The 27663-nt window shown below is 47.9% G+C and overlaps 1 protein-coding gene and 1 non-coding gene across 3 annotated transcripts, besides 8 other annotated features; both read left to right on the plus strand.

Annotated features, from left to right (window-relative positions):
* Positions 75 to 134: a silencer, noted in NCBI's record as "silent region_11183". NCBI's record gives its function as "represses an Ori minimal core promoter by ATAC-STARR-seq in GM12878 lymphoblastoid cells {active_cell/tissue: GM12878}" and the evidence as "EXISTENCE:reporter gene assay evidence [ECO:0000049][PMID:35858748]".
* Positions 75 to 726: a biological region, named in NCBI's record as "H3K27ac hESC enhancer GRCh37_chr2:12856972-12857611".
* Positions 87 to 726: an enhancer, noted in NCBI's record as "H3K27ac hESC enhancer chr2:12856972-12857611 (GRCh37/hg19 assembly coordinates)". NCBI's record gives its function as "activates a minimal SCP1, AML or CMV promoter by ChIP-STARR-seq in naive H9 embryonic stem cells {active_cell/tissue: H9 hESC(naive)}" and the evidence as "EXISTENCE:reporter gene assay evidence [ECO:0000049][PMID:30033119]".
* Positions 177 to 25975, plus strand: TRIB2 (tribbles pseudokinase 2). Of its 2 annotated transcripts, none has more exons than NR_027303.2 (3): positions 177 to 251; positions 6501 to 6793; positions 23567 to 25975. NR_027303.2 is itself a non-coding variant. In NM_021643.4 (3 exons), exons 1-3 carry the CDS (start codon positions 1549 to 1551, stop codon positions 24033 to 24035), a joined length of 1032 nt encoding a protein of 343 aa, NP_067675.1. In that variant the 5' UTR covers positions 177 to 1548; the 3' UTR covers positions 24036 to 25975. The 2 variants fall into 2 exon arrangements, 1 of the variants encoding a protein (NP_067675.1); NM_021643.4 differs by having other exon boundaries at positions 177 to 1818.
* Positions 575 to 644: an enhancer, noted in NCBI's record as "active region_15340". NCBI's record gives its function as "activates an Ori minimal core promoter by ATAC-STARR-seq in GM12878 lymphoblastoid cells {active_cell/tissue: GM12878}" and the evidence as "EXISTENCE:reporter gene assay evidence [ECO:0000049][PMID:35858748]".
* Positions 2006 to 2643: an enhancer, noted in NCBI's record as "NANOG-H3K27ac hESC enhancer chr2:12858891-12859528 (GRCh37/hg19 assembly coordinates)". NCBI's record gives its function as "activates a minimal SCP1, AML or CMV promoter by ChIP-STARR-seq in naive H9 embryonic stem cells {active_cell/tissue: H9 hESC(naive)}" and the evidence as "EXISTENCE:reporter gene assay evidence [ECO:0000049][PMID:30033119]".
* Positions 9524 to 10723: an enhancer, noted in NCBI's record as "CDK7 strongly-dependent group 2 enhancer chr2:12866409-12867608 (GRCh37/hg19 assembly coordinates)". NCBI's record gives its function as "activates an origin of replication core promoter dependent on BRD2, BRD4, P300/CBP, MED14 and CDK7 cofactors, with strong dependence on CDK7, by STARR-seq in HCT116 cells {active_cell/tissue: HCT116}" and the evidence as "EXISTENCE:reporter gene assay evidence [ECO:0000049][PMID:35650434]".
* Positions 11795 to 11844: an enhancer, noted in NCBI's record as "active region_15341". NCBI's record gives its function as "activates an Ori minimal core promoter by ATAC-STARR-seq in GM12878 lymphoblastoid cells {active_cell/tissue: GM12878}" and the evidence as "EXISTENCE:reporter gene assay evidence [ECO:0000049][PMID:35858748]".
* Positions 11855 to 11914: an enhancer, noted in NCBI's record as "active region_15342". NCBI's record gives its function as "activates an Ori minimal core promoter by ATAC-STARR-seq in GM12878 lymphoblastoid cells {active_cell/tissue: GM12878}" and the evidence as "EXISTENCE:reporter gene assay evidence [ECO:0000049][PMID:35858748]".
* MIR3125 (microRNA 3125) lies at positions 20608 to 20685 on the plus strand. The gene has a single exon (NR_036072.1). It is a non-coding gene; the product is annotated as a microRNA 3125 (primary transcript).

Genomic DNA, 27663 nt, shown 5'->3' on the forward strand with positions numbered 1-27663 from the left:
GCGGCGCGGGGAGCCGCCCGAGGACTGGCAGCGGCGGGGCTGATTGATGGGCGCCCGGCGCAATGAGGGGGGCCCGGGCGGGGGCGGGGCGGGGCCGGCTCTGGGCTGAGCCAGTCGCGGGGGCGGCGGGGGGGGGGCGGAGGCTCCGTGGAAATGTGTCGGTGACATTGAATGGGGAGACCGAGCGCGAGCGAGGCGCGCGCGCGCACACGCGCACTCACGGCCCCGCTCGCTCCGAGATCCCCGGCCACGTAAGTAACTATTAATACCGCCTCGCCGGGGGATGCGGGCGTGCTGAGCGCGGGGATTGGCCTCGGGCACCGTCGGCCGTCCCCTTTAATTTTTAAATACACGGTCCCCTCTTTTCTCTGGGGGGGGCAAGCAAGAAATCAAAGAAGGAGGAGACAAGCCGTCAATTTTCTCCAAAACAAACCCCACCGGGCAATTTGGTCTCGGGGTAGGGGGAGACGGGGTGATTGCAAATTATTCCAGGACGAGATCCAGTTCTCCAGCGGGAAAGGGGCAAAGGAACGCCGCGCGTTGGAAGGGCCAGGGACGCAGCTCCCCTTGCAGCGCCCGCAGGACCCCCGCAAGCTCGTGCCGGCGAAATCGGAGACCGCCGATCTGTCCTCGTTCTCTCCTGCACGTCTGGCTGCATTCGGAGGAAGACCTGGGGCGCGAGCGAGCGGCGACAGCATGAGCCTGTGCTGACCTCCGCGCGGCGGGCCGAGCCCAGGGCTTTGTCGCGGTACCTGCGCCCAGCCCGCGCCGCAACTCTGTGCCCAGCTTTTGCAATCTTTTGTTGGCAGCGCTGACCGCACCAAGTTAAATGCTCCCTTGCAATTTTTCTTTTTTTTGTTTGTTTGTTTAATTTTTGGAGAGCTCGCGATCTTGGAAAAGCCTCAGACGCCATCTACAGTTAAAACGTAGGTAACTGCCCTCTCCCGCACCCCCCCCTTACACGCCCCCCACCCTTTCCACCAAAAAAAGGGGGTGCAGCGCGGATTCTGGCTGCCGTGCGTCGCCAGCCGGTAGACCCGTGCTTGTTTCCTTTCTCTTTTTGTTTGGCTTCTAACGCGTTGGGACTGAGTCGCCGCCGTGAGCTCCCCGAAGACTGCACAAACTACCGCGGGCTCCTCCGCCCCGTCTGCGATTCGGAAGCCGGCCTGGGGGTCGCGTCGGGAGCCCTGGCGCTGCAGCTCCGCACCTTAGCAGCCCGGGTACTCATCCAGATCCACGCCGGGGACACACACACAGAGTAACTAAAAGTGCGGCGATTCTGCACATCGCCGACTGCTTTGGGGTAACAAAAAGACCCGAGTTGCCTGCCGACCGAGGACCCCCGGGAGCCGGGCTCGGAGCAGACGAGGTATCCGGCGGCGCCCATTTGGGGGCTTCTAACTCTTTCTCCACGCAGCCCCTCTTCTGTCCCCTCCCCTCTCGCTCCCTTTTAAAATCAGTGGCACCGAGGCGCCTGCAGCCGCACTCGCCAGCGACTCATCTCTCCAGCGGGTTTTTTTTTGTTTGTCGTGTGCGATCCTCACACTCATGAACATACACAGGTCTACCCCCATCACAATAGCGAGATATGGGAGATCGCGGAACAAAACCCAGGATTTCGAAGAGTTGTCGTCTATAAGGTCCGCGGAGCCCAGCCAGAGTTTCAGCCCGAACCTCGGCTCCCCGAGCCCGCCCGAGACTCCGAACTTGTCGCATTGCGTTTCTTGTATCGGGAAATACTTATTGTTGGAACCTCTGGAGGGAGACCACGTTTTTCGTGCCGTGCATCTGCACAGCGGAGAGGAGCTGGTGTGCAAGGTAAAGGGCCAGTGGGTTGCTTTTTGTCTTTGGAAGGGGCCCGAGGGAGCGGGAGGGCGCCAGGCCCTCGAGTCTGGGAGAGGGAGATTCGCGGGATAATTACCGTGGCCTTATTAAATGGGTTTATTTATTTATTTGCTCAGGTTCGGTAAGTTGCGAAGTTTTTAGACCGTTTCAGACAATGGGGCGGGCGGCAGTGGGGGCGTTTCGGGGAGAGCCCGGGGAGGAGAGGGCGGCGGGACTGCGCGGGGGCCACGGACACGCGTGCACCGAAGGCTCCAGGAGCTCTCTGCGCGAGGCCGGGTCCCGCTGCCCGGGGGGGATTTCTTCCTGTGTCTAGCCCCCTCCCCTTCCAACAAGGATTAGGGAATCCCCCGGTAATTTTAAGACTGATGACTTCGTTCTTTTCGCAGCCATTGTTCTTAGCAGCGGGCAGGTGTTAAACCTTTGTTCCGAAGGTGCCCTTTAAAACAGACACACAAAGGTGCCCCCTTCGGCTGAGCCCAGGGGCCCAGCGCAGGGAAGGAGTTTACAAAGACCTTTCTTCTGCCTGGAGCCTTGAAAGGAGGGTTGGGGTGGAAATCAAAGCCTGAGCACTTTCTGGTGAATAGTGAATGCTTTGGGTCTTTCTCTCTGGTCTTGGTCTCTCTCCCCATCTCTAGACTTCCCTGTCTGCTCATCCCCTCTCTTCCGTGCCCCCCTGAACAACACCTTTGCCTGTAAGGTTAAGAGGCTCCCGTTTGGAGCCCTAGGGATCCGCAGTGGTAATACCACTGCGATGGACACTTCGGTTTCCTTTTTTGTCTTTAACCCTGAACAGTGACTGGTTTATGTATATGTGTGTCTGTGTATCTTTGTGTGCACCCACCGGGCCCCAGACAAGTGGATGAGGGGCGAAATAGTTGCGAAAAAGAAAATAACTATAATAGAGCATACTACTACCCAGAATTGGACCTAGATCAAGGATTCTTTGTCACTTAATTTTAGATTTGCTGACTGTTTTTTTTTTTTTTTGAGGGGGTAAGGGGAGAGTGGGGGACCCATTCTGCCTTTGAAATGGTCACTGGGCACGGTTGTGCTGCAAATAACACATCGCGCTTTTGCCATTCACCACAGACTACTTTGCGGACTTGCCTTATTTCCTAGTGGACTGGAGTATTTCATTGCAAAATTTGGGTTTAGTGGAGATCTCCAGTCAGTTTTGCGATTGTTCAGTTCAGCCCTTAGGGGGAAATCGGAGACTCTTTAAATGTTGCCCTTTGCTTGTACTGAGCATTTGGTATTTTGCATCTTCTCTAAGTTATTGAGACCCAGAGCAACTGTGCCCAGTTAACCAAAATTCAGTAGCTGGATTGAATTCTCAGAAGTCTGCAAGGTTGCACAATAGGATAGTCATCCTTTGAAATGAATGAATTCCACAGAACTGCCACTCTTGTATGAAATATGCACAATCACCCAGCAGTGAATATTTTCATTCCTTTTGCTCAACTTCAGTACAGCATTTTAATATTTTTCAAAGGCTGGAGATGCTTTTAAGTATAGGGACTCTGCAGCCAAATTCTGCAGGGGCATCTGGCTGTTACTTCTTTGTTTAAAATCAGAGGTGACTCTGGCCTCTGCTCATTCTTTCTCCAGATTTTGCAAGACATATTTCACTTTGGGCTGACCTTACAGTGTCATTTGCAGACTTGTGCTCTGGCCTCAAATTGGACTTAATCTGCTGGTTTAGTTATTGCAAAGATTGAATCAGCCCCTCACCAATTACAGTGTGGCTGCAAGTGGATTTAAGTGCAGTATCATTGTTCTGCTTGACAGAGGTCATCCCTTTAAGACACAGCAGCTTCTGTTTTCCTGACTTTTTACCATAGATGATGTGGGTGACTTCTTATGCAAGCATAGTTGTGTATCTCCGAAGAAGCTCCAAGAGAGTTTTATAAGGCTGCTTCTCTGAACTGCCCTGAGAGATATATATGCTGTGGTCTCTTAGCTTACTTTAAGGCTCAGTGAAATCTACACATTGAATCTAGTTCCTTTTGATGTCTTAGAATAGAAGGCTCATGTTTCCTAGCTGTGTGTTGACCAATGAAAAAATTCTTTGCAAAAACAGATCAAATGTAAAGATGCTATTTATTATAGGGGACTGCGTAGAGAATTCCATAGGACACTATTTGGAGGAATAGAGATTCCAGAGTCATTTAAACAAAATAATCAAGGCTGCTTATTGTCTCCATGTACCTACTTTTGCTAGATGAATGAAGGCACTTTAAGGAGTCTTTAACTGTATGTTTTCATGGAGATACTGGTAGCTACTGTGCAGATTGACATAATTACTATCTTGGCAGAATGGGTACTTTTTTTTTGCAAATGTTATTAATGATGGCCTAATCTTACTGCCTTATCTGAACTGTCACATTACATAACCAAGGCTCCAAATTAAACATGTAAAGAAGCTGGCACCAGGCTTGTGGCTTGATTTTGCACGTGAAGATGATGGTTTAAATACCAGTCCAAGCCCCTAAATGCCCCTGATAGCTACTAATAAAAGTTTGGCTCCTTCTCGTGTGGGAAAACATAAGTACTTATTTTATTTTTCATACTCTGTCCACCATCTTGGAATTTGGTCTCTTCTACAAAAGGTATGGCTACATTTGAAGCTGCCACAAATATGTTAGTTTTTTAAAAATTCTGTCTCCAGTTTTTCAGCAGTGGAGCAGGATAATAGGCTAAAAGTGCTGAGCAAAAGTCACCTTTTATGTTTTTGTAAATGCACCTGGAAACAGGAAGTAGATTATAAATAATCATAACTCTGTGAGCACTGGCGACAGAAGCTGCAACCTGGTATTTCAGAACACAGCATCTTCATTATATGATGCAGTGTTTACGTTAGCCACTGCAAAGCTTATTACTCCTCGAAATTTTTGAGGCTTCCCTGGGTTTCTGTTGCCTGCATTCAGGGTGTTAAAGTTGATTCAAGCATTTCAGATTCCTAATTGAACAGGCCTCTTAGGTCACTGCTCTTGGGTCATCATTTGACAGTATCAGTGTGTGATTTGTGGTCTCTGGAGATGTTGAAGTATTCTTTCTTAAATTCTAGGTTATAGTGGCAGCAGCTGTGCCGCTTTTCTGAGATGCCTCGTTATGGTTCATTCACAACATTACTGTTAACTTTGCTTCCTTGGCCGTGTTAGCAGCAACTCTTGAGGTTTTACATCCCTGTTTGACTCACAGATTTTGTTTCAATTTTTTGAAGCTTAGAGCAACTTAACTCATGGATTCTTAAATAGCAGTCTGTGGCTTTGGATGGGCTTCAGAAAGCCCGTGAATCCCCTTAAAATGAATCCGGTATCGTGCATGCATTTGAGAACGGGCATTGTCAGCTAAGAGGGAACAGAGCTTTTATCAGATTTTATGTGACATCAGGACCCAAAAAAGGTTAACACTGTTCTAAATCAACATCTTCATTTTATGAAGAGGAGGGAGGTCCAGTAACCCTAAGCTCTTTATCCATCTCATCCAGATTATTGGTGGCAGGGCCAGGATTAGTGCCTCAAGGTTGCCGACTTCCAGTCCAGCATATTTCCTACCACACTGCAAAATGATGATGAAAGAAAGTATGTCTAACTAGTGAAAAAGCGATTTAGGCAGCTAAATCATTGTGAACTGATAGCATGCAGTGTATTGTTAGGGCGTTCCTGCCTCAGATGCTTTCCAGCGAAGCTCACCCACGCATGCCCCTGGCTCACGCACACACTGAATAGATTCATCTTACCCACATCCCAGGCAGATAGAAAAACCACATTCCAGACCCAGGGACTTGTATTCCTGATTTAGTGGAGGTCTTGAAATGAATGAAAGCGCCTTTTATATAACCTCAAAAATTCTCTGTAGTGTTAATTGCTGTTAGGTCTGTTTCAAAAGGTATTGATGGTGCCTTTTCTTTTTAAGCAACCGCACAATGAGTTGGCATTTTGCAGGCTAATTTTGATTCATAGAAAATCATTGCATAACTGGTTCATTGAGTTAGATATCTGTGGAGGGAAGAGAGGAAGAAGCAAGGCTGCTTCCCTATTCAGAAGGATTCTATCATATTCCTACCTCTGCCACTGGGGGCTTGAGTTTTGGCTCATTCTCTGAGCCTCAGTTTCCATATCTGTAAAATGAAAGTATTGAATTAGAGACCACTGGGCAAAAGCTAGCTGTTTATTCTCTTAGTTGCTCATGTGTTGTATAATGCCTGTTTATGTGCATTTCTTTTTTTTTATTTTTGAAGGCAAATAAAGTGTTGTTGATGTCATTGAGGTGGATCACTTTCTCTCCAATTTTGCCTTAGTTCTATAAACACGCAATTGGGCTAGAGACAAAAGTAATGAAAATTATTATTTCTGTACTGCATTACGTTTTGCAAAGCACTATCACCTTCATTTTCTCATATAATCCTCCTAACACTGTGAGTCAAGTATCAGTTTCCCATGTTGTACGTAAAGATTTGGAGGCTCCGAGAGGTTAAGTGACTTGTTTAGTGCCACACAGCTGGTAGGAGGCAGGGCCAATGTGGTCTGGGTCCAAGTTCAGCATATTTTCTGTCATCTCAAAAGCCCATACCTGTGGGAGGTGCAGCATTATGTGTTTTGGTTGTACAAGAGGCACCTCTGACTTTGGTCTTACTGTTAATCCTGTCGTAGGTGTTTGATATCAGCTGCTACCAGGAATCCCTGGCACCGTGCTTTTGCCTGTCTGCTCATAGTAACATCAACCAAATCACTGAAATTATCCTGGGTGAGACCAAAGCCTATGTGTTCTTTGAGCGAAGCTATGGGGACATGCATTCCTTCGTCCGCACCTGCAAGAAGCTGAGAGAGGAGGAGGCAGCCAGACTGTTCTACCAGATTGCCTCGGCAGTGGCCCACTGCCATGACGGGGGGCTGGTGCTGCGGGACCTCAAGCTGCGGAAATTCATCTTTAAGGACGAAGAGAGGTAGGTCTCATCCTGTCCAGACCTGGGTACTGTGATGGACTGCTCCTAACAACAGCTTCCTAGAAAAGTCTTGAATGGACGTTTTTTTGCCGTCTGTGGTCCAGATGAGGGGAAGGAATCTTAGGAGGGCAAAAGGAAGTGAATATTGCAATTTTCAAGTGTTTGGGAAAACAAATAGCTACTATTCTAAAGGTGTCATCTGGTGCTCAAAGGACAGGTACCAGGATATTCTGTGACCCAATGAATATGTATGATTAGGTGTCTTGAATTCCGAAGGTGGCTGCAAACCTCTTTGACATTTTCAATGCCAGTAAAGGCAGGGCCTTGAAAATTCTACCCGCAGAACACTCAGCAGCCAGAATCAGTCATTTATAATTCATTCATCCATGCACTCATTCAGTAGCTCTTACCTAAGCTTATATTAGGTATTAGTCACAATTCTCAGTACTATTAATATCTAGATGAATTAGATAGCCAACGGACCTATAAAGGAAATGCTACCAGCTCAGAATAGAGGTCCGTGCTGGGTGGGATGAGAACTGGGGTGGTGGGGACATGTCAGTTCTCCCTAGGACTTGGAGAGTCAAGGAAGGTTTTACAGGAGGGGTGATTTTGGAGCCAAGACTCGAAAGATGACTGGATTTCAGGAAATGTGGGAAAGACCGCATTCCAGGTGAGGAAACTGCTGATGCAAATGCATGGCAGTGCAGAGGTCTTGGTTATTGGAGGAGACAGCTGGACAGGATGCAGGCAACTGGCTTATGCCGTTAACTCATTACCTTCTATTTAGCAGACTCTGCTGGGGCCCTGCTTTCTCTCCCAGCCGATTTTGATTACAAGAACTCCTTCAAGCCCTTTTTGTTCTTTTTAAGAATATGAGTTTAGAGGGACAGAGGCAACAAATCTGTATTCATTGCTCACCGTAGTTCCTGAATGAGGCCCCACATAATGTGGAGACCAGCTCATATCTTGATCTTTGCTTGTGAATGCCTTTACCTTTATTAACAAACTGAGAAGGGGCAGCTGTTGGAAGATTTAGAGTGTGGAACCACATTTACCTTTTCTCTTCCGCTCAGATGCCTCTGCCCCTGGAGCCTGGAGATGTTTCCCCTGGTTTTGCCTTCGATACCCTCTGTGATCTTGGATTGGTCCTTCGTCTGTTTCCACCCTCCCCCTACCAGCCTCATATTTCTCCTTCTGTTACCTTCTGTATGCTGTATTGGCTCTAAGGTCTTTTCAATTAATAATAAATTGGTGTATGTGCTTCTTTGAATATTCTCATTTAGAAGATGAATATATGTTGACCCCCAACGATACTGACAAAGGTATTCTCTCTACCCTTGTATGTTCCACCTTTCTTGGAGATTTAATAACTGCACCTACAAAAATAAGAGGTCATATTTGTTTACCTCTTACCATAAGGTTAAAGTTTAATTCTCTCTCCCTATTGAAGTGAATGTCATCATGTCCATTGTATAGACGAGAGCTCCAAAGTGCAACGTGGTGAAGTCCCAAAGTTACGGACAGGAAAGAGCAGAAGTAAGGCCACATTCACTAGTAAGTCAGCTCTCAAGAAATTCATTTGTCTGCCAGAGGGCATGGGGACAGCAAATGCCCTCTCTCGCAGGGATCTGTGTTTTTAAGTGTCGTCTTTGATTGTGTTTCCATAGGGAGGAACTCTCGGGCACCAACGAGTAGAAGGAATGGCCTATTCAGGGATAGGACCCCCATAGTGAATACATGTTTGTGCAAATGAGTAGAGCAGGGTGGAGGTCCCCAAGTCATAGAACATGGGAACAAAAGTGGACCCGGAGGTTGCATAGTCTGTGTGGCACTCTCTTGGTTTGCTGCCAGGAGGCAGAACTCCAGAGGTGAGAGCACGCCCCAGTGCACACAGCTAGCTAGGAGCCAGTGAAGCACAGCCAGGCCTCACCTGGGCTGTGGAGGGCTTTTACTCCCACCCAGCCTTTGCTTCTCCTTTATGAGTGTGTCATCACACGCCAAAATCCTTGATGTCCCAGGATCCAGGGAAGAAGCTTCCAACCTCAGGAGTGTGTGCCTCTGACATTCCGTCTGGAAGTTACGTTTGACTTTCGCGAAAGAGCATGACCCTGTCCAGAGATAACCAGAAAGGAGTATCCAGTGTGAATGTGAAACCGAAACAATTGCCTGGAGTAAACATGTCAAAGCAAAATCCTTTTTCATTTTCAAGAGCATTTTCCAAGGTAAAAAGAGAATGTAAAGGACTGTAGGGAGCTGGCCTATATAGTCCCTACAGCATGGTGGCATGTGTGATAGCCCCTTTGGCCATGCAGCCGTGTTGCCCCAGGGGCCAGCCTTGAGGCTGATGCCCTGTAGGACCTTGGAGAAAATGAGAACTCCTCCATCTGATCAGTGAGGTTACTTGGCCTCATGGCAGGGTCACCTAGCTGGCTTAATGTTACACAGCCAGTCTGAGGGTGCAGCCAGCCTGGAAATCCTGTCATTCCATCGAGAGCTCTTCTTCCAGCCCAAGTCACATGGAGGTCCCAGTGGGCTTGCTTTTCAGGAACATGACAAGTGTCTGTCTGGGCAGCTCTGAGAAGGTCACCTCTGTTTTCAAGGACATTTTGAATGTTCTCAGCAGTAGCTGATTGATAAAGAGCTTTTTTGTTTTTCTAAAATCCAACTATCAACTTTTTGTGAAAGGGGAATCATGCCTAGTCACCTTTTTCTTCTTGTTGTTTTGTATTTTAACCTCTCGATTCCAGAATGTGAAACTTCTGCTTTTTGTTCCACAATGTATTTCTCCTTCTCTGCCTCCTGGCAGCATTGAGTTTCATGGCAGATTCTCTTTTATTTGGCCTGCATGGTGGCCTACATGGAGCACATTGCCAGCACTTCCTGAGGGAAGAGTGTGAGGCCAAGTGTCAGGGGCCCAGGACCTCATTGGCTCCATGCTTGCTGCTGGGAACTCTCATCTTCCACCCTAATTGCATCACTTTTAGTGGAGCTAAAGCTTCCTTCTCCCTCAACAACATCGAAAGTGTAAGGAAGCAATGGGTTAAATTTTAAAGGCTTTTGGAAAGCTAAACCACAGAGTTAATGTCTGTTTTCTCACCTTTTGGGCATTGGTCCCACGGTGAAAAAGCAAAGAAGCAAATTTGGGAAGTGCTGCTTTATTCATCTTCTGACCATCACACACCTCTTTTGCGCATCAGTCTTCTTCTCAGTGATGTGCTTCTTGAACTCTGGTGATCTGGAAAGCAATCGAAAGTGCAGGCTTTACGTGTGAAATTGGCTGAGGCCCACCTGGTGCAGAAGAAGACCTGCCTATGGGCTGACTCCTTGTGCCTAAAGTTTCGATTGTGTGCCATCTGGGACTCTGCATCCATGGCCATCCATGGAAACGTTGTTAGTGGAACTGCCAGCGCCTTCAGTCCGGTCCCCCACTGGTGGTTTTGCAGGCAGACACAGATGACACCCAGCGTTATGTTTGGACCTAATGCCAGCAAGCCTTGTGCTGCTGGGTAGAAATGGCAGCAGCTCAGAGTCTTCTGTTTCCATTTTACTTTGATTTGAGTTTTAGGTTTAACTTCTGGCTCTTCTTAGCTACCTGATCTTGGATAAGTCATTGAATGTTTCTAAGCTGCGGTTCCTCAAAGCAGAAATAATAATGGCATTCCTGTCGGGCAGTTGTGAGGGTTAAATGAGATGATTCTGTGACTCACCGGGCAGGGCAGGCACTCATGAAGGGACAGCTGTTCCTAGAGTCATTGACGAAATAGTACCATTATGGGAGAGCAGTTCCCAGGACTCAGTGGGTTCTTGAAGAATTAAGTCGCTCGCCTGGGCAGCCTATTCAGTGAAGAGTGGCACCCTTGTGACATAGGGGTTCAGATTTAGGCCACATTCTCCTCTCTGTTTGGTTTAATTATAATCATTAAGTTAGTGCCAAAGGTCAAGTGCACCTGGTCTGGAACCTGAGGCTCAGAAAGGCCAGATTGACCATATGTGCACTGGAGTAGGCGGCCACAGGCACATGTAGGGAGTGGAGGATCATACCCCACCGTGCCTGAATCAGCTTCTGTGTTGCAGGCCTTGGACTGCTGCTTCTCCTTCGTTCCCAGGGATGTTTGTGCAGGGCAGAGCCTGGTTCTTTTTGTTTATACTGCTGAAAAGGAAAACCTCAGGGCCCAGAGGCATTGAGCAGCATTTTGAGGAAGTTAATCTCCAATCCCAGTTGAACTCACCTGGCCACACCCTGTGCATCCACAGTTCGTGTAGTAAAATCTCAGACAGTCTGTGTGTAGTAGCGGCCACCCTGCTGGTTATGGCTCAGAATCTGATAGAAGGCAGCACCCACATCCCCAAAGTGCGTGCCCTGTGCACTCCGCCTCCCCCTCTCTGCTGTGGCATTGGGGTGACCTGCTTGATCAGTCTATTCTTAGAAGCCCCATGTTTCAGGCCCCTCCAATTCCATTTTAATTCATGGGAAGGCCTGAGCTTGGGAGAAGTCCTGTTACTTCTATGTAGAGTCACAGCTGCCGTCTGGATTCCAATCCCTGTTCTTGCACTTTTTAGGAATGGACCTTGAAAAATTACCTAAGCTTTGTGCCCAGACTGCCTCATCTGCAAAGTGGAAATAACAACATGGCTTCCATCATGGAATTAAATGTATTAATACAAGGGAGCCCAATGCCTAGCACACAGTCAGCCATCAGCAGACGGGAGCTCCTACCTAGCACACAGTCAGCCATCAGCAGACGGGAGCTCCTGCTGATGGAAGCCTCCTCTGCACTCAGTGTCACTCTGTGGTCACAGGGCCAGTTCCCTGGCTCACTCAAGATGCGAAGAGCCCTTTGAGCAGGTGCACCCTTATGCTGCTCAAGGAAGGTGGGTGGGGCCTTGTTACCACAGCACTTCCTGTTTGCTTTTGCCCATTGGATTTCTCTCTGGGTTCAAGGCTTCCTGCCATCCCTCTGCCACTCTCTGCCTCAGTTTCAGTTCAGTGTTGACATTTCCTTGCACAGAAGGACCCCATGTGAACTGAGAAACATGCCTCTTTACATGTTTCTTCTTTGGGTAGAAGATCTTTATCTCTTGACGTGACAGGTTTCATTTCCTCCGCTTTGTGGAAGCCGGTCAGTACCCACTTCAGCAGGGTGGAAGCTGCGACTGTTTGCAGGAACTCAGTGGCCTGGGGGCTTTCGGTATAATAAACGCCACCTGCCCAGATTCACAGACCTGTGCCTCCCTGTGGGGTGGAGGCGTTTCTCCTTCCCCCACCAACAGAGGTCAAGGCACTCTTTCTCAGCTCTTAGTATCTTTATTGGCTTTTCCTTCAGATCTTCAAGTTGCACCCGCCTCCATTGAGGTCTCAGTATCTAACAGAGTACAGAGGGCAGGCATGGAAACCCTGGAGACCAGACTCAGCTTTTCTTTCATTAAAAGCTGTGTACATTTTTTCAAGTTGTAGGCGCTTTGTATTTTGGGAAAATACCTTTCGTTTTTGCTTTGAAGGAAATGGAGCTCCTGGAATTCCCTTATTTATGAGAAACCCCTTTATGTACTTGAGGTATTGCCAACCTTTGGGGAAGGCTGGCGAGCCTCCTGTTCCCCAGGGTGGATCAGTGATCTCTCTCCCATAGCACTCCCTTTCCTCATCAGAGCTCATCTCCTGCTGTATTCTGATGGCCCGTGTGTGCATCTGTAGACTGTCCTTGTCCCCTGCTGGGGGCTTCCTGGGGACATAGGCTGTCTCATGTTCACTGCTTCTGGAACAGGTTGGGCCTTGCTATTTGTTGACGGAATGTCTCCTTTTTTGAGTGGGAGCAGCTCAGATTGGATTCTAATGACAGAAAGAGAGAGGCAGGGGTAAGTAGAGTATTGGTGTCTAGGTCATTGCCTGGAATCAGTGGGAGCCCAGAAAACGTATACATCCCCTATGGAGACACCTTTTCAAAGAGAGCTATTTCCAAAGTTTCCCATCAAGTGAGAAATTTACCCATCATTTCCCTTTTAATTTAATGATTTATGCAGAAGTGACATTTATTTAAGACATTGTTTTCAGTGTCTATGGCAGGCTGTAATTTTATTCATGAAGGGCTTTTCTAATCACGGTTAGAAAGGGGAGAGCTTCCTCCAGGTTCCATGCTTATAAGTAGACTAAATAGTAGGTATTCTTCAGCAGGATTTCTTGCTGGGCTGCTTACTGCTTGTACTTAGTAACTAGTTGATGGGCTAGTGTGGGTCCTCAAGCAAACCAAGCAGAGGCACAGTGGTCAGATTTTTTTATTACTCCATTTAGCCCTATGGTCTTAGCCTGCCTTCTCTGAAATCATGAGAAGAGACAATATATTAATATGTTAAGTGCCCAGCACAGTGCCTGGTGCACTGCAGCTACTTGAATACATAGCCGTCATTATTGCTATTGGGCATCCTCTGATGTCATTGAGCCTCATAACCCAACAGCCCGGAGATTCAATTATTTATTTAACAAATACCTATTGAGCATCTATTATGTGCCAGGCACTATTCTTGGTGCTGGGGACACTACAGAGCCCAGTGAGAGAGAAACCCTGTTCTCATGAGACCTACATTTCAATGAAATAATATCTAGGGCCCACCATGTGTTTTACTCATAACATGTGATTCACCAATTTAATTCTAATTAGCTACTGTATTTAAATTAATCAATTTAAACCCAGTGAGTAAGATACTCTTATTTTCACCATTTTACAGATAAGAAAATTGATCCTCAGAGTCTAATGGCCAACCAGTGGCAGACCTGGGGTTGGTACCCAGGCCCCTGGCTCCAGAGCCCAAGCTTTCAAATACTAGGTTGTCTCCAGGAAATAGACAACAGGTAAAATACCGTCTCTTATGCCCAACCCTGAGAAAGAATTTTCTCACGCAGTTAGGCAACAGGTGTGCACCAGGAGGACCTGACTAGCCAGGGTCAAAACTCAGCTCACGACTCAGTTTTCCTGAGCAGTCATGGATTGGGCCACCAATGAGCCAACCCTGCGGGCAGTCCTACGTCCTGTTGTTCCATTCTGTGGGTTTTTTTTGTTTTGTTTTGTTTTTGTTTTTCCCCAGGGAACTATACAATGGGCTTCATTTCTTTTTCTATCCTCCATGCCTAGCACTGGACTTAGCAGTACTTAGGAATGTGTGACCATTGATGCCATGGATATACAAATAGCCCCTTATGTCCCGTGGCGTGAATATCATAAGAAAAATCAACTAGCCATATTGACAGTGGAATGCAGTGGATGGAAACTCATTTTCAATGTTGTTTTCTACTCAATACTCTTGGGAGTTTCTCTAAATCATGAAACCGAGTCCAGGCTATTTGAAATTTCTTTGGACTCTAGACATTGCCATGCATAAGAAGAGTCTTGCCTAGATGCCGTGAACTCCAGATAGAATGTTGGAGTTGGGGAGTCTTAGATATGGGGGTCATTCTATCTCGCAAACATTTATTAAGCACCTACTCTGTCCTACGGTGCTAGGTGTTGATGGTACAGGAATCAGTACAAGAGAGTCCTTGCCTAATGGATGTAATCATTATTCAATAGTTATTTAGCTGTAAGCATTATTTAACAGTTCCAACAGTGGAGTACGGTGTGGAGAATGGTCACCTCCGGGAGGTGATGACCTCCTGCACGAGGTTGGCTTGAGTGCTGTAGTAGGGATGGGGAGGTCCCAGAAGGCATGAGTCAAGCCAGAGGCACAAAGAGCCGTGTGTAGGGAGGGCTGTGCTGCTGGAGGGTCCCCTGTGCCAGGACAGAGATGAGGCTGAGTCCAGGGCCTGAAAGACACACCCCTCACCTCCAACTTGACCTGAAGCCCAGAAGGAACCATTGAAAGGTTTTTCTGGATGGCAGGGATGGGTTTGTGATTCCGGAAGTACATGTGAAAGATGAACTGGGTAAAGCAGCCGGGCATGGGTTCTAGGAAGAAGTGGCTCAAACTGAGACTGTGGCAGTGGGATTGAAGAATTGGGGGCAACAAGTGGGGGTTTAAACCCGACACTTTTATCTTTACAAACAATGAGGAGGAGAGTGGGCTTACTCAAGGTTTCAAATGTGTTCATGGCACAGCCAAGTGCAGGACCCAGGTTTTTCGACTTGATCTCATTCATTACGTGCCTACGCGCACATCTCCACAAGCCTGTGTGGGGCTCCCTGTCAAGTGCAGCGTCCCTGTCTGGCCCTGCGAGTGGGTGCAGAGATGCACTCACAGGCCTCCCTGAACTCTGTGAACTCCCACCCCACACCTGGAACAAGACTGGGAAAATTCTGGACCCCGAAGCACTCCTAAGCCACCGGGCAGGGCAGCAACACCATCGCTGGGTGCCCCTGGCCAGCACTGAGCCTGCGGAAGCTTTGCGGAGAGGCCAATCCACTGATATGGGGGAGGAGGGATTCTTCAGGAGCCATGGCTGAAAGTCTCAATGCAGGGAGTGAATGGAGCATTGATGAGGAATTCCTGTCAGCATGGCTTCCTCTTTCTTGGGTTTCCCTTTCTGTTCCTATGGCGACAGGATGGACTTCCTCTGTGAAGCCCTGGCGGCCTGCAGGCTGTGCTTGTGTGGTGTCTGCATGGGGGCGTGGGAAGGTGTTCGGGTACAATGAGACTCCCCTGTTCATCCAGGCACCATGGATGGGAGTCGGGCAGGAATGTGCACCTGCATGCGGACAGGGCAGGGATTCCGTCGTGGCCGGGTAGATGGCACTGCAGAAAACCCCTGAGTATTTGAGTCAGATTGGGTTTCCCATCCCAACTGTGCTATTTCCAAGCAAGTTCCTTCATCTGTCTCTAAGCTGCTGTAGTCTCCTGCATCAAATCGGTGTGGGCACACCCACCTTCCAGATTGTGTGGTGTTGTAAGGTCACAAGAGGCATATTCTCTCCCTATAGACATCTCTCCCTCCACCACGATGCCCTGAGATGCTTCCCCCGTGGCTCACCTGTTGCTCTCCCTGCTAATTTGTGGGCCATTTGAGGTAGGAGTTGGGGTGGTTCACTGACTCTCCAAGACTTGGTGCAGAGGTGGCTCTCAGAGGTGACTGTTGGAAAAGTCTGTGCATACATGAACCAGAATTAAGTGAACGACAATTTATTTGGCATCGTTTAGTGGCCTGTGACGTTCTAATGCAGCTGCCAGGCCGGCATGATGGTGCCAATGGTGCCAGGTGGTCCTTCCCAGGCCCTTGGTAGCAGCCGCCCCGGGCGGGACCCTGGCTTTCACAGCTGGACTGGCTGCCCAGAGGACTTTTTCAGTAACAGTCAGGGCAAGGTCAGATCTGGCAGCAGCTGACCTTTTCACTTGACCCTTAAGCCTATCTGGACCGCCTGACTGGACGGCCTTCAGTGACTTCTCTGGATTTCACTGACCTTAGGCCACCGGACTTCCCATCCCTGCCAGGCCCACTTTGTCTGGCTGAACTCCCAGCTCAGCCCCACCCTGGCCCACCCTGTCCTGATCTCTTCCTGCCAAGGGCCCACAGTGCTGTTTAAAGATTGGAAAATACGGCATGATTTGCTTGTGGATACTATTTTTGATCTTGTGGATTGAGCACTAAACTTGGAGTTAAAAACCGGGGTTTGAATCCCAGCTCTGTCACTGGCTTGCGAGGTGGCCTTGGACAAGTCACATCTACTTTCTGTTACCTCAGTTTCTTCATCCGGTAAATGGGCAGGTCTAGTCACCTGTATCTACCTCATGAGCTATAGCAGTTAGCTGTGAATGGGATGGTTTTGTACCAGATCTAGTGCTGAATAAACTGCACCAGATTTGCCTCCATCATCTCAGGGTCTCCCTTTAAAAGTTTTTCTTTCTTTGGCCCTAAGTAAATCAGTGATTTTAGTACCAGAATGTATTTTGGAAAGGACAATGGCGTTAGAGTCCAGATGTAGATTCAGAGCTCAGCTTGTTCAGTTTCTCTGTGTATGGCCTAGGGCATTTAATTCCCTGTGCCTCAGCTTCCTTATATATTAGGTAGCATGCATATATCATACTTGTCTTTTACTTTGTTTTGAGAAATAAGGATGCAAGCTGTAGTAATCTCAGCATCTTATAGATGCTTCACACATAGTTTCTATTATTGTTACTATAATTATTATTAGGATATCATATGGTGTGTTGTAATCACTAGAGCTTAAGAATTAAAGGAAACTTTAAAATCTGGAATTCTGAAGCTAGACGAGCCCTTTTCAGGCCCTGTAGCTATTTGTTCTTATTTTACAGAAGGGAAACTGAGGCCAAAAGAACCAGGGGCCACACTGGTAGTTCAACTTAGTGGCGCAAGGGAGCTCTGGAGCCTGTGCTGAGAGTGGATGGGGGTGGGGGGAGAATCGGGGCTTTCAGTGCCGACCTGTGCTGTTCCACAGATGCTGGGAGAGGAACCACACCCTGCTGCTTTTGGCTTCCTCACCTGGCACCGGGATCCGGTGACACAAGGCCTGGCACTGGGCTGGGCCGTCATTGAGTACACAGGCTGCCCACGTGTAAGCCTTGTTCATTCAGCAGGTTGAGAGCAAAGCAGGCTGTTCTCTTCCTATGCCAGGCACAGTTTGCAAAAGGCCTGCAGGGATCCAGCTTCTCTGGCCAAACCAATCCTGCCCCAGGCTGGTGGCTGGCAGGGAGATGTCTCTTCCCCTGAGAAGTTACTGGAGATAACCATTGTCATTTACAGCGTTTTAGGCACAAAAATTGCCACCACCCTCCACCCCTTGTCTCTTTGGGAAATGTTTATTCTTCTCGGACTGTTTCTGGTACCACCACTTCCAGGAAGCATATCCTGATTACTGTAGTCAGAACTGAATAAAGTGAGGGGACTGGGCTGGGCACAGAGCTGGGGAAAAGCATTCCAGCCCGCGGGAGGAACAAGTGCAAAAGACCCAGGAAGGAACGAGAATTCACATCTACGGCCGTATGCTGGGGACTTGCATTTCGTGCTTCCTCACCTATCTTCTCCACTAGGCTTTTGGGTTGAGGGTAGGTGCAAAGGTTCATTCTTAATAATAAGATCGATCATTATTGTTGCCCCCAGTTTTTTGCAGATCTACCATGCTAGGCTCCTCGGTAGATACCGTACTTGCATTATTACAGTTAATTCTCACAAAAACTGAGAAGGTGGGTGTTACTTGTCATGTCTGTCTCCCCAGTGCCTAGTTGGGGAACTCAAGCAGAGTAAATGCTCGGTAAATGTCTTTTACATGCCTGCATGACTAGTGGGACATTTGAATTACTAGGTCCACAGATGCTTCTGTTGGTTTTTATGGAAATCAGCTCCTTTGCCTGGAAAATTCATAATGCCCAGACTGTGAGGGGACATGAGCCATTGCAAGACTGTTCATTCATTTCTGCTCCCATTTCTGACATGTGCTAGAGCCCCACCAGGGACTCCCCATACACATTCTTGAGACCGTGACTGGCAGCCCTCTTTCCCAGAGGAGGGAGCCAAGGCCCAAAGACCTTCAGCAGCCTCCCTGCAGTTACACAGCAAGTCCACAGTGACCAGAGCTGACACTCACCCCCGCCTGTCAGACCTCCCTCCATTCCTCTCGCGTGGTATGCATCCTGAAAGGTCCTCGTTGAAAGACGTAATCCAGACCAGTTGCCTTGACCCTTGCCTAGAAGTTTTGTAAACAAGTTCACAGTGTTCTGAGAAGGAAGCAAGGTCAAAAGAATGACCTACCAAGGCCAGCAAGCCTGCATTTCCTCCCCATCCTTTCTCCCGGCTTCTCTTTTCTTTTGCCCCTCTCCTGCCTGGGATGCAGATTCTCCCCTAGAGAAAGAGCAGGCTCCTGCCCCAAGGATTGGCTGTCCCCTGACACTGGGGAAGCACACGTACAGCGCACCTTGATGGAGCCTAGTGAACTGAGCAACCCTGGTGTGGTTTCCTCCGCCAGCTGCTTGAGTAGGTGGGGTCAGGCCTAAGGAAGGTGAGCACCCAGCCACTGCCTTGCCTTGCCAGCCGTAGGAGCCTACTCAGACTCTCTGAGCATTAGGCTCATTGTCCATGAGAAAAGGAATCATAGTACCTGCCTTGGAAATGGATCTCCTAAACTTTAAAGAGACTATATGTGTAAGTGCCTCGCATGCATTAGGTACATAGATGACATCTGCCGTTTGGTACTTTGTAATTTTCAAGGCCTGATCTTGAACCCAGGTCTCTGTGGCCTCAGGACACTGCTTTGCTCTCTGACCTGGGCTGGTTTTTGTGGTTGTCCTTCTGCAGCATGTGCCGAACCAAATGTGACAAGCAGACCTGGGCCCTCCCCACTAAAATTTCAGCCTCTGAAGGAAAGGAGCACGTAGTGTTGGATACATGAGCTTAGGGGCAGCTGGTATTTGGCAGCATGTGGGATGGTCTTTTCATTTTATTCTCAAATTCACGAAGTATCGGGCCTAGATTCTGGGTGCTCATCTTGAGGTAGGAAAGGTGAAAGGTGAACTCCAGCTTGGGGGAAGGCCAGGGTTAGTGGACAGAGTGGAGGCCTTAACCATTTTCTGAGGCTTCCAGAAAGAGGGGTTAGGATGCTTTGAATGTGGGGACACCTGGGGGCAGGAGGAGGTGAAGGAGAAAGTCAGAATCTAAAATTGTGACCTGGAAGGGGATAGGAATGGAAAAGGGCCTCAGATTTGGTCAGAGATGCGACAAAAGTGAGCTGACACAGTCGGGGAAGCACAATCCGGGTGGGGAGACACTGTGGCAAAGGCCTCAGAAGGACTGGGGTCAAGCAGGGCATGTGAGGAACAGCAAACAGGCTGGGAAGGAGGGAGAGGGAGATGGTCGAGAGTCCCTTGCACGAAAAGCTTGAGGTGGTGAGCTCTGCACCCTGACAAGACTGAGCGAGGAGAAATTCAAGTCCCTGTAGTCATATCTCCCTCCCACCTTTACTGACAGATGCCTGATATCCCCACCCCCTTATCACTATGGGAGATTCCTTGATGCTGTCATTTACAAAGCCCATCCTCTGTAGAGCTCTCATTGACTGCCACTAAACCCTGGCCAGGTAGGCAGAGCACCGGCCCTTGTTCCTTTGCCGGTGAGCGCACTGAAGCTCACCCCCTGGGGTCGACAGCAGGACAGTCCCTGTCATTGATGGATTGTGTATCTGCCCTGTGCCAGGTACTCGTCTAGGTACTCAAGGTACAGCAGCAAACTTAAGTGTTGTTCTCTGCGTACAAAATGACATCAACCACATGCCCATGGGCTCTTGGAGGTGGGAAGTGAGGTGATCATCCCAAAATGATCACCATAATGATACATAGTAAATCATGAAATGTAAATGTACGATATCTCCCATGCTGAAAAGAGGAGGAGGGCGTGCTCCGTAATGTAGGATGGACAGGATCAAGTTTAATAACCTTCATTCGAGCAGAGGCAAGACAAAAGTGAGCTGTCACACAGTTGGGGAAGCACAATTAGGGCAAGGGGACACTGTGGCAAAGGCCTCAGAAGGACTGGGGCCAAGCTGGGCATGTGAGGAACAGCAAACAGGCTGGGATGGAGAGAGAGGGAGTGTGGCCCAAGAGATGGTCGAGAGTCCCTGGGGGTCACCCTGCAGCCGTGACCAAGCCCTAGGCCTCCACCTGGATGAGCTGCATCACCACTGCAGGTTTGGGGCAGACGAACCTGGGCAAAACCTGGGCCCTTTGATACCAAGATCCATGCTTGTTCCACTGGACCGCCCCTTGTCCCACAGATGGGAGAGCTTGTTTTTCTTCTTACTATTATTTCCACAGTTGTAATTCTTTCCATAGCTATTCTGCTAAAACAGTGAAATTGGAGATGAGGAGTCTGGCTTGCGCTGGGTGAGAATGGGTAGAGGAAGCTGTGGAGAGAACTCACGGTGCCTGTGGTTCGAGATCCCCGCCTTCCTCCTCCTTTCCTCTGCCCCTTGGGTTTCACCTTTTCACCTCCGTCACATCTCGACAGCTAGTAAGTCTCGTGGGCCAGCTCCACCTGCCACCTTAGATTAGGAAACGCAAAAGGACAAAAGAGATTTGTTTTTAATCAGCTCCATTCCAGATTAGCACATGTAGATCCTTCCTGTTTTTGTAGAACATTAGCTATAGGCGCAGAAGACTATGTATTCTATAGATTATAATAGAATGTGAGTGAGCACACAAAAAAGGGAGAGATGGGTATTACAGAATCCCAGAATGATAAAACTGGCAGAGACTTTAAGACTGCCTTGTCCAGATGTTTGCATGACAGTGTAAATGTACTTAATGCCAATGAAGTACACTTAAAAATGGTTTAAGATGGTACATGTTATGTTGTGTCTATTTTACTACATAATTTTTTTTTTAAAGACTTCCTTGTCTAGTGCTCCTCTTTAGGTCTGAAAAACAGAGAAGTTGAGTGACTCAGCCATAGCCACACAGCAGGTGAGAGACAGAGCCTAGCCTGGAAACTGCCTTCCTAGCTCTTAGCCCAGTGCCTTTTCCCACGACCACAACTATTGTTTGTTCGTTGGTGGAAATTAATACGGAAAGTAGTCACTCCTTGAGCTTTGAACTCCTGTAATCCAAATATGAGGCATTAGAGTCAACCCAGGATTTCACTAAACCTTTTGCTGTAGAGAACTCCCAGCAGCAATCTTTTGGTTAATTTGAACCTTGCCCCGCTTCTATGGCTCTTAGTGGCGGTGGTGATCACGCTGAAAGGCTAAGACCTTCAGGCAGACGGAGGAAGAGAAACAGCAGGAGATGGACTTGAGTCACAAGCTCTGACTTATGACCCAATGTGGTTTTTCCAAGCTCTTTCTTATTCAATGCTTACTTGAGCTTTTTTTGCACTTCGGGGCAAACAGGGCAGATGCTTGCACGTGCGCTTGCATGTGTGCTTTTGAGATGAAGGAAATACGTGATGTGAGTGAGACAGCCCTTGTGGATGCTGTCTTAATCCTAACTCCAACTCCTCCCCATCCCTCCTCACCTTCTCTGCAAGCCTCCAGGGGTGTGATGATGGGATAGATTAACTGAGCTTTTGAGACCCAAGGACTACCTACAACTCTCTGAGGCAGTGCCCTAGCCAGGAGAGTCAGAGGAAGATTTCAATTTTGAGCACGGGAAGGTAGCAATTCCTAACTTTCCACTCAAAGAACAGTAGGGCAGGAAAACAGGAATTCTTAGGAGGCCCCTGAGCTAAGGAGAGGAGGCTGGTCTAGGAGCTTGGGGCGCTGGGTGGAGGAAGCTCTCAGTGACTTTCACCATAGCCTTGAACAAGTCACCGCGCATCCTGGCCCTCACAGTAGATTAGGTATAGTTAATGATAAGAATTCAACTCACTTCCAAAAGTATTTCCTGAGCACTTAATTTATGTCATACACAATGATGACATCAGATCTTACTGTGTAAGGATGCATGCTGGGTTCCAGGCAGTTTAATGCAGGATTTCTTACCTCTTTTCTTGAGCATACCCTGGAGAGTCCTACTTTCCTGTCAGCAACCATGATGGACCTTAAATGGGAGGGAAAGACTGGGGGTAGGATGCCTAGTTTGAAAAGGATCTTGGGCTCATGGTTCTGTTCACACACACCCTATGCACGCAGACACGTGGGAAATTGGAATCACAGATGTGCACAGACAGAAGATGTGGGTGACCTTCATCAGATGTTAGAACCTGGTCAAGGACAAGGCCTTGGGAGTATGAGGGGCAGGACAGAAGACAAAGGCGGCAGGAAATCTGGGGAAAGAAGATGGTTTTGTTTTTCTTTTTTGAGACAGAGTCTCACTCTGTCACCCAGGCTGGAATGCAGTAGTGCGATCTCAGCTCACTGTAACCTCCGCCTCCCGGGTTCAAACGATTCTCCTGCCTCGGCCTCCTGAGCATCTGGGATTACAGGTGTGCACCACCACGCTCTGCTAATTATCGTATTTTTAGTAGAGATGAGGTTTCACCATGTTGGCCAGGCTGGTCTTGAACTCACCCGCCTTGGCCTCCCAAAGTGTTGGGATTACAGGTTTGAGACACTGGGCCTGACCAGGGAAAGAAGATGGTCTTGATACGAGGGTGTCAGCCTCAGAAGGACCAGGTGATAGGAGTCCACTCCTGCTTGAACATTCCCTGCTTCCTGCCTGGTCCTAAAGAGAGGCACCTGGTATAGCAGAAAGAGCAGCAGCATCAACTTAGGAAGATGTGGGATCAAGTCTTCTCCATTTCCCAGCTAACAGGTTTGGGGAAGTTACCCGAACTCTCTGAGTCTCGATATTCTCATCTGTAAAATGGGATGTTAATATCCTACGTGTCTAATACAAAGGGCTGTAGTGAGGCCAAAATGCAAGTAAGGTGAAAGGTCTTTGTGGACTGTGGTCTGTCATGTTAGTTACACGTCTGCCAAAAGTTGTAGACAAAGCTGTGGGCTTCCTGGTTGGTTAGGTCTCGGTTTGAATTCTGTGGTGCCCTATCATTATGCAAATGTGACTTTGAGAAAGCTAGTTAATCTCTTGTTCCCTCATCGCAGGGGTGATGATGATGTGATTCATGGTTCGCTAAGGTGCTCAAGGTTTGAGCTCCCCAGTGGATTATCAGCTGCATGAAAAGACCTTGTCAGTCTTGTTCACCCATGTGGGTGTCCTCAGCCCTGGAATAGTAGCTGGCAGCTAGAAGGTGCTCAGTGAGTAATGTTTGGCTGGTCAGATGAATGCGTGAATGAATGAATGTGAATGAGGAGTCTTCAGAAACACTATAGTCGGTTATGTTATGATGCTGGTGGTAACGTGTCTCTGAGCACCCTCAGGAGCTTATGTTTTCCTCCTTTCTTGCAGGACTCGGGTCAAGCTGGAAAGCCTGGAAGACGCCTACATTCTGCGGGGAGATGATGATTCCCTCTCCGACAAGCATGGCTGCCCGGCTTACGTAAGCCCAGAGATCTTGAACACCAGTGGCAGCTACTCGGGCAAAGCAGCCGACGTGTGGAGCCTGGGGGTGATGCTGTACACCATGTTGGTGGGGCGGTACCCTTTCCATGACATTGAACCCAGCTCCCTCTTCAGCAAGATCCGGCGTGGCCAGTTCAACATTCCAGAGACTCTGTCGCCCAAGGCCAAGTGCCTCATCCGAAGCATTCTGCGTCGGGAGCCCTCAGAGCGGCTGACCTCGCAGGAAATTCTGGACCATCCTTGGTTTTCTACAGATTTTAGCGTCTCGAATTCAGCATATGGTGCTAAGGAAGTGTCTGACCAGCTGGTGCCGGACGTCAACATGGAAGAGAACTTGGACCCTTTCTTTAACTGAGCTCATGCCCCACGGAGACTTAGCAGGTTCCAGGAGTGAGCGAGGGCAGCGGAAAGGAGTTCTTCCGGGGGACACGAATTGCCTGGCTGAGTAGCAAGAAAGACACACTCTTAAGTTTCTTGGTTCAGAGCAGGAAAACCTTCAAGGAGCTGACTGACCACGTAGCATGGGGGCAAGAGGCGTGGGATGGGGATTGGGGTGAGATGGATGGGAGCCCGCTGGAGCTTGTCTTCCCTAACATAGCCTGGGAGACCACCCCTTGCCACTTGGGCCACTTCCGCCTACCCCACTTTTCATTTTGTTCCAAAATAGTTGCAGATCCTGACAGAATCAAAACTCTCTGCCTCAAACACACATCCTGGCATCGCACTGTTAGCATTTAACTTCTTGTTAGGATTCAGGGAAGGAACAGTTGGCCAAGAATTTTTTTTCTTTTAAACAAGCCAACCACCTAGCTGGTAATTAATGAGGTTCACTTAAAAAAAAAATTCGGTGCACACAGACTGACATGAAACCTGGGTGCTACAGTAAAAGAAAACAAAAGTCCAGTTTGTGTCTCTTAATCGCTCACTTCAACTCATTTCTTCTAAATAAACTATTTAATATCCTGGTCAGGAAATGACATGTTAATGCTTTGCTCCCTGAAGGGGGAAAAAATCTGTCCTTTAACAAGCTATTCTGTTTTGTGTCAATTGGTTCGTGGCAGGAAGCTATTAGAAGTCAAACGTCCAGATGCATTACTGCTATCTTAGTTTAAAGGGGGAAAGAAAAGGGAAGAAGAAAGGAAAAGAGAAATCCAACTCCTTTTTCATGTTTTGCTTTTGAACAATGAGGGTTTGTGTGACAGGCATTCCTCTTTGCTGAGATGATAGCAATGGCCTGAGATTTTAGCAAGCTCCTGGAGTCTGATGCTTTTGCAGTACTCTGATCGCAACTAAACATTTGTCTTTGTTTTATTAGAAACTAGTGAAACAAAGCAGGTTGTCCCACATGTATAAAATACAGGGCAGCTATTTAGTTTTCTTTACAGAGAATGATCCTTTTAAGGCTTGTAAGGCCCTCTGGTTTGGACAAAAACCCTCAGTAGAGACAAGCGGGAAGGATAATTAGCTGAAAGCTATGATGATATAAATAAAAACAGCTCTCTATCCCAATACGCACCTTTGTATTTTCAAGAACTCTTCTATTTATTAAGGAAAATGTCACATTGTGATGTATTAAGCCAGTACTTCAATTACGGGTTGACTTGGGATGACATATTACATGCTGTAGTTAACATTTATAATTCTTTTTCCTTGTTTGAGTATTTCTGTCTCTGAAATAACCTTTTACTTGGCTTTTCTAGATAGCTTTATTTGATTTCGAGTGGCAAAATGTTTTTTATTACGGCTTTTCTATTGCTGTATGATACAGAACTCTTTTGGCATAAATATTTGTGTTCCCAGTACCTCACTTGTTCGGATTTGACTGCCTGTATATGTTTTGTGAAATGGTCCTGTTTTTGGGTAGGTGACACGTGGACTCTAGTATGTAAATGTTACTTGAATCTGTGCTTCATAATAGTGTGTGGCATGTATGTGCAGACTCTTGGATGCTTTATGCCTGCGCAGCAGGAGCCCTGTCCTCACGTTCCCAGGAGGGCGGCTTCACCCTTCGTAACCAGGAGACAAGGCGGCCATGGATTTGCCCTTGATTCTATTTTGCTAATGGAAGATAGAAAGGAGAGAAGGTTTTTTTTTTTTTTAACATTCTGAAGATGGTGCTGTGTCAAGAAGGACCTTTTTTTTCCCCTCTCCCCTATTTTTTAAGTACCTTGGAGGAGGAGAGGTTGGTGACATGCATGGTGGGGATCTATGGCCTCTGGTGCTTTGTCCTGTATTTGGTTTAATGTTTTTGTCCTAATCTCTTCAATCAATAAAATTGTGCGTATTTAACTAAAATGCTGGAGTCTGGAAAATGATGATTTTTTTGCCACCTGTGCTTTGTGGTCACCACACACCGGGCAGAAGCTCACATCTTACAGGCATTTGCTCTTTCAGGGTGAGCCACTGCTACTACTTTTAAGACATGGAATCTCCCTTTCATCGTATTGGGGCATATGCTGTCCAATCTGGATGCAATAGCTCACACTGAATTAATCGTCACAACAACTGTAGGTGACCTAACTTACGTTCCTAATACAGATTAGGAAATAAACCCAGAAATGTGCATGCCTTGTCCAGGGTTAAACTTGTGAGTGCTAGGCCCAAGACTGGACCCCATGTCTGGTTAGCCACAAAGCTTGTTTACTCTTTCTACAATGTTAAGAGTCCAGATGTTCTCAGGGAGAGTGTAGTAATAGCTCTAGAGTAACCAGGATTACGTAGGGCACAAGTAATCCAGGCCTACACATGGTTTCCCCAGGAAAAGCCCTGTGCTGCAAACTTGAGTGGAACCCTCCTAGGAGACCACCCAACTCCCAGCAACAACATCTGCCCAGCAGCCCTTACTTGAGTCTGAGATCCGCAAATATCAAGGTTGCTGGGGCTCGATAGACAGTCGCATCCGTAGTGCACCTTACTTAACAGAAATAACTACGGCCCAGAGAAGCTCAATTCTCTCCTGAAATGTTTGCTAAGCACCTCTGTTATTTCAGTGTGTGCTGGGAAGAGACATGGAAACAGACAAATGCAATGAGTAGAATCAAGTGGTGGGGTACACACACGCAGGATTGATGGAAGCCCATCAGATGGACAACTCCTGTCTAGGTCCGTCAGAAGGTGTCCTGGAAGGGGTAGCACCTGAAGCAGAGTCCGGAACGAAAAGAATTTAGATAATAAGAGAGACAGCAGCAGCACTCTATGCAGGGAGGATGGTGTGAGAAGTATTTAGAGACTTATCCCAGTTAACACCATGAATGCCAAGCCCTGGATGGAGTTCATAAAAGATCTTGCAAAGACTGGAGTTTGTGGTTTACAAGAGGATGTGGCTGAAGCAGAGGCTTCCTGGCCATTTGGACCAGTCTTCTAAATTCACAAAGTGCTTATTATTCAGTGACATCCCTTCTGTGTCCTTAGCACCTGGCTCAGCAGCAGACACCTGACCCAGTGCCTGGCACATGGAGGTGTTCAGCAAATAACTGTTCATGGATATAATTTGTGCCAGGAGAGGGTGGCCTCTATATGCTCCAAAATTTCCTTCCAACCCCAGGTGTCTAAGATGCACATTATTATAACAGGAGCAGACTTTGTAAGTATTGACACCTATCATTGGCTTTTGCTAGGGCACATATAGGCTGATCCAATTTTTTTGTTCTTTTCCCTGCCTGTGATTAAGCAGACATGGGTCTGTTGCCTAATGAATGCCCGTTTGAATTGTGCACTGTCGACCATTCGCCTGTGTGGTTGCTGGGGGCCGGGGGTGGGTTGCTGGCATGCACACCCCAAGCCACTATATAATGAGCTTCCACCGCGGTGGAAACCCAGACCCAGCAAGCTCCTGCTCCCTTGCCCTCTGAAGACTTAGCCAGTAGAAACCTTTCATTTTCTAATCCCCTTGGTGATAAGACACTTTATCCTTTTTTCTACCAATCTGGACCTGGGGCAGGTCAAGGGGCCTGGGCCACAGGAATGAGGGCAGAGGTGTGGCG

Source organism: Homo sapiens, chromosome 2 (assembly GCF_000001405.40).
Source record: "Homo sapiens chromosome 2, GRCh38.p14 Primary Assembly".
Classification (NCBI taxonomy): domain Eukaryota; kingdom Metazoa; phylum Chordata; class Mammalia; order Primates; family Hominidae; genus Homo; species Homo sapiens.